This window comes from Homo sapiens, chromosome 1 (assembly GCF_000001405.40).
Source record: "Homo sapiens chromosome 1, GRCh38.p14 Primary Assembly".
NCBI lineage: Eukaryota > Metazoa > Chordata > Mammalia > Primates > Hominidae > Homo > Homo sapiens.
Window position 1 is genome coordinate 166,792,768 of NC_000001.11, and position 5,062 is coordinate 166,797,829.

General features: G+C 43.9%; 1 pseudogene; it reads left to right on the plus strand.

Moving 5' to 3' along the window:
- On the plus strand, positions 3,478-4,571 carry CNN2P10 (calponin 2 pseudogene 10; annotated as a pseudogene).

Consider the following 5,062-nt stretch of genomic DNA (forward strand, 5'->3'; position numbering starts at 1 on the left):
ATAGGATAATTCTCGACAATATAGGCCAAAAGTGGTATAGATTGGTTAAAGAACGAAAGTAGGCAACCACTAGATTAAACTAATGTGGCTGCAGCAATGAAATAACATGCAATTTAGACATTTCTTATATTAATCAACTCACAATTCACAAGATTCTTCAAGCTACATTGATATTTTTTTAAGAGATGGGGTCTCACCAGTTGCCCAGGCCAGTCTTGAACTCCTGGGCTCAAGCAATCCTCCCCACTCAGCCTCACAAAGTGCTAGGATTACAGGCATGGGCCACCACACACCCAGCCTACATTGATGTATTATTGAAGAATATTCCCAAACACTTTTTGGGAAGTAGTTTTGTTTTGGGTTTTTTGTTGTTGTTGTTTGGTTGATTTTTTGTTTTTTTGGTTTTTGGGTTTTTTTAAGTGTTCATCATGCCATTCTCCAGGGTACATTTAAGAAGAGTTTTGTTAGGCTTAGGAATGGATTCTTTTAATATTATGTTTGTTGGTTTGTTGTTTTTAATGTGGGGATGGGGAACAATACGTAGAAATGGATTCAGGATTTATTCAGGAAGGGAAGTGATAAGGGTAATCTTTCAAGGGACATCCCAAATGAAAGTCAGAATGTGTTGACATTGTTTATGAGGTACAGGAACTCTCAGTGATGATGATACAACCTCAGCCTGCCTTCTGTTACTGAATTTTCTAAGGAGTACTGGCCTCCTTATCTCATGTAGATTTGGCTCTATGAAGAAGTGGAAAGTCCTAATTTTTTTTTCTTTTTTTTTTTTTTTGAGACCAAGTCTCACTGTCACCCAGGCTGGAATGTAGTTGCACATCTCAGCTCACTGCAGCCTCCATCTCCCAGGTTCAAGTGATTCTCCTGCCTCAGGCTTCCGAGTGGCTGGAATTACAGGTGATCACCACCACACCCGGCTAATTTTTTGTATTTTTAGTAGAGACGGGGTTTCGCCATGTTGACTAGGCTGGTCTCGAACTCCTGACCTCAGGTGATCCACCCACCTCAGCCTCCCAAAGTGCTGGGATTACAGACATGAGCTACCATGCCCGGCCCAGAAGTCCTAATTTGATCAACCAATTAATTGAAGAAGATCCCATGCTTTCTTTTTTCAAGTGGGATATTTTATAGCCTAAACTGAACCTCTTGAAGCTGTAAGTATTCCCAAGAGCTGATCACAAACTGAAAGACCTCTTTTTACCTTCTCGTTACTGTCTCACACAAAATTAAGGTCAAAAAAGCATATTTCTAAAAGTCTCAGCCATTCATTCAATGAATATATTCAAGTACCTACTATGTGCTAGACACTGGAATCATAGAAGAAAACAAGACAAAACTAGTCCATGTCTCTACAGTTTAAATCTAGCCTCTAGGGATTCCCCACTGTGCAAGTGACAATTTTTCTAGTATTGACAAGATTTTACATCCAATCCACATCCTAATGAGAATTGTGATTTGAATCCATCATCTTTGTGAACACAAAGGCAATTAAAGAACGGGTCCTACTTTTGGGAATTCAGTCAGTGCACTCTGGTGAGTGGGTGAGAAAAAGCTGGGAGGGGAGGCTGAAGTCCAGGCTTGAAGAGAATGGTTCAAAAGTTAGATTGTGGTGAGGGCAAGAGCGCATCACTGAAGCTTTGGGGCAGGGAGATGACATAATCAGAAGTATTTTGATAAAATAACTTTCAGCAGAAAGAAGAATGAACTGACACAGGGAGAAACAAGCTAAAGGTTCTGCAGGGTTCCTACACTGAGCCAACTTTGAGAACTTGGGGCTTGTTAGTTTTGTTCTTACTCATACCTAACATTTGCTTTTTCTCTTTTTTCTTCCTCTACTTCTTGCCCTCGTTTGCCTGCTTCTATCAAATTTCCCTACTTAACAACTCTGCCTGTTTTCCCTTCCTTATGATTTATACAGTAATTACTATATATAACTTTTAATATATTTGATATATTTTCTATCTGGCCCCGAAATTAATACTCCGTACAGTTTCCCAACAATAACAAAATAACCTAAAAGTCTATGTTAGAATAACTGCATCTTAGGGACCTAGATACTTGGAATATTTTCCTGTTTATAATCAATATATAATTTTATCATATACATTTAATATTTCTTCATTTCTATAAAAAGACATTCAAAATTCTAAAAATAATCAGTATCACTCTAATTCCTCTCTTAAGCAAATTCAATAAAGATTACCAAATGTTCTTGTGATACAAATTGCAACAATCATCCCAAGGATTTGCTTTTCATTCAGAAAATGTCCAGTGAATTTCCTGAGTTTCAGACACGGTCTTCTCTATCTCTGTTGTGTATCAGCAACTCCATTTCCCAATGTTAACTGAGAGCAGTCACCCCAGCCAATACAGTAATCCTCTTCTCCGCTTGTTGGTTTAGTGGCATAAGAACCCCAAATTGTTTGATGTTGGATGTTCAATTGTTATGGGACCATTGCTGTATCCTTCTAACTATCTATACTGTGTAACAAATCACCCCCAAAACTTAGTAGCTTAAACCACCATGGTTTATTATTTCTTACAAGTCTATAGGATAGGAATTCAGGCAGGCCTCAGCTGAAGCATTCTTTCTTCATATGGCAACAGGTGGGATAACTCAGCTGCATTCACCTGGTGGCTAGCTGGGCTGGAATATCCAAGAAGGTTTTACTCACATGTCTGATTCCTTGGTGTTTCTCCACATAATTTATCTCACTCTCTTTCTCCACATAGTTTCTCATTATTCAATAGTCCAATCTTCCTTATAATATGCTATCTTCCTCCAAAGAAAAAAACTGATACTGCCAGTTGTCTGGGTTTGAAAGTCCCAGAACATCACTTCTGCCACATTCTATTGCCTGCCCTCCACTCCCACCCCCAGTGTGGATGACCTTCATCCAATCCACTGAAGGACCAAATAGAACAAAAAAGTGTAGTAAGGGAGAATTTACTCTCATCTCTCTGGTTGTCTTTGAGCTGGGACATTGGTGTTCTCCTGTCATCAGACTCAGACCAAAACTTAGAAACACCACTGGCACTCCTGGTGCTCTGGCCTTCAAACTCAAACTAGAACTATACCATAGGTTCTTCTGGGTCTCCAGTTTACTAGCTACAGATTGTGGGACTTCTCAGTCTCCATAACTTCATGAGCCAATTACTTATAATCTCTCTCTCTCTCTCTTCCTCCCTCCATCTATATATCTAATGATTGGACCCACGTACTCCAGGCCCATGAAAGAAACAACTTTATATATCAATAAATATATAGATATGTAGATATTTCCTTTAGTTCTATTTCTCTGGAGAACTCAAACCAGTATAGATTTTGGTACTAAGAATGATTCCAGAGGAAGAAATTTAAGAATGTTTTTTCTGAGAATATGTTTTCTGAATTGGTTCTAGAGTTTCTGGAATTGGCGCTGTAATTCAATTAGATTTTAAAATGCTAATGGGTCCATCTTACCCTGTCCCTTCCCATCAGCCATGAGTTCCACGCAGTTCAACAAGGGGCCTTCTTACCAGCTTTTTGCCGAGATCAAGAACCAGCTCCTGTTCAAATGCGACCCTCAGAAGCAGGCGGCGCTCTGCAGCTGGATCGAGGGACTCACCCGCCTCTCTTTCAGCCCCGACTTCCAGAAGAGTCTGAAGGAAGGGATTGTCTTATGCACACTCATGAACAAGCTGGGCTCAGTCCCCAAGATCAACGGCTCATGCAGAACTGGCACCAGCTAGAAAATCTCTCCAACTTCATCAAGGCCATGGTTGGATACGACATGAACCCCATGGACCTGTTCGAGGCCAACGACCTGTTTGAGAGTAGGAACATGACGCAGGTGCAGCTGTCTCTTCTAGCCCTGGCAGGGAAGGTCAAGACAAAGCTGCTGCAGAATGGGGTGGACGTCGGGGTCAAATACTCGGAGAAGCAGGAGCGGAACTTCGACGACGCCACCTTGAAGGCCAGCCAGTGCCTCACTGAGCTGCAGATGGGCACCAACATATGTGCCTGCCAGTCGGGCGCGACAACTTAGGGCACGATGAGGCATCTCTACCACCCCAAGAACCGTATCCTGCCCTCTGGACCACTCGACCATCAGCCTCCAGATGGGTGCAAACAAACGCTCCAGCCAGGGGGCATGACGGCTCCCGGGACCCCGCAGCACATCTACAACACCAAACTGGGAGCCCACAAGTGTGACAACTCCTCCATGTCCCTGCATATGGGTGACACGCAGAGTGCCAACCACAGCGTCCAGGGCTTTGGCCTGGGCCAGCAGATATACTATCCCAAGTACTGCCCTCAAGGCCTGCAGCCAGTGGGGCTCCCTTGGATGCCGGCAACTGCCCAGGACCAGGGGAGGCCCCCGAGGATCCCCCCTGCTCCCAGGAGGAGGCCACTACTGAGGCCCCCGAACATGCTGGCTCCCTACATCATCGCCCTGTCTGGGTTTGGGGGATTTTCCTGTATTTTCGTCTTTCTTTTTTTTTTTTAACCTGTTCAGTGCTGCCAACCGAGGGTCTGTGAGTAGCTGCGTGGGGTCAAGCAGCAGGGTTATTTTTGTTTGTTTGTTTTAATTTTTTTTTCCCTCCTGCCTTAATTCCTTCACAGGACTGAGACACCGGGCTTGGGAGGAAGGGGTCAAGGCTGTATCTGGATGAATGTGAAGTGGGGGTCGTTGCCAGGGCACATTCAGGCTGTGGGCTGAGCGGTGCAGGGGAGAAGAGGTCTGGGCAGCGAGGGGAGCCGGCAGCAGGAGGTTTCCGGTTGCTTCTCCTTTTCCCTTTTGTCCACCTATCAGTTTGTGGTTTCTGTACCTACAGAAGTTTCAGAAGTATTAACAAAAGAAAAATATTTCTTTTTTCCTAGGGAATGGGGCGGGGACAGTGGAGAGGGTGCTGGGAAATGGGTGCCCTGGGAGAAGGCCAAGGCCAGGATGCTAAAATATCTTAGGCTCATGAGTGACTGGATTTCCCTAGGACCCTCAGACCTGCACAGGGGCCGGGTGGGGAAACAGGCTTATGCAAGACAATGGGGTAGTGAGTCAATTGG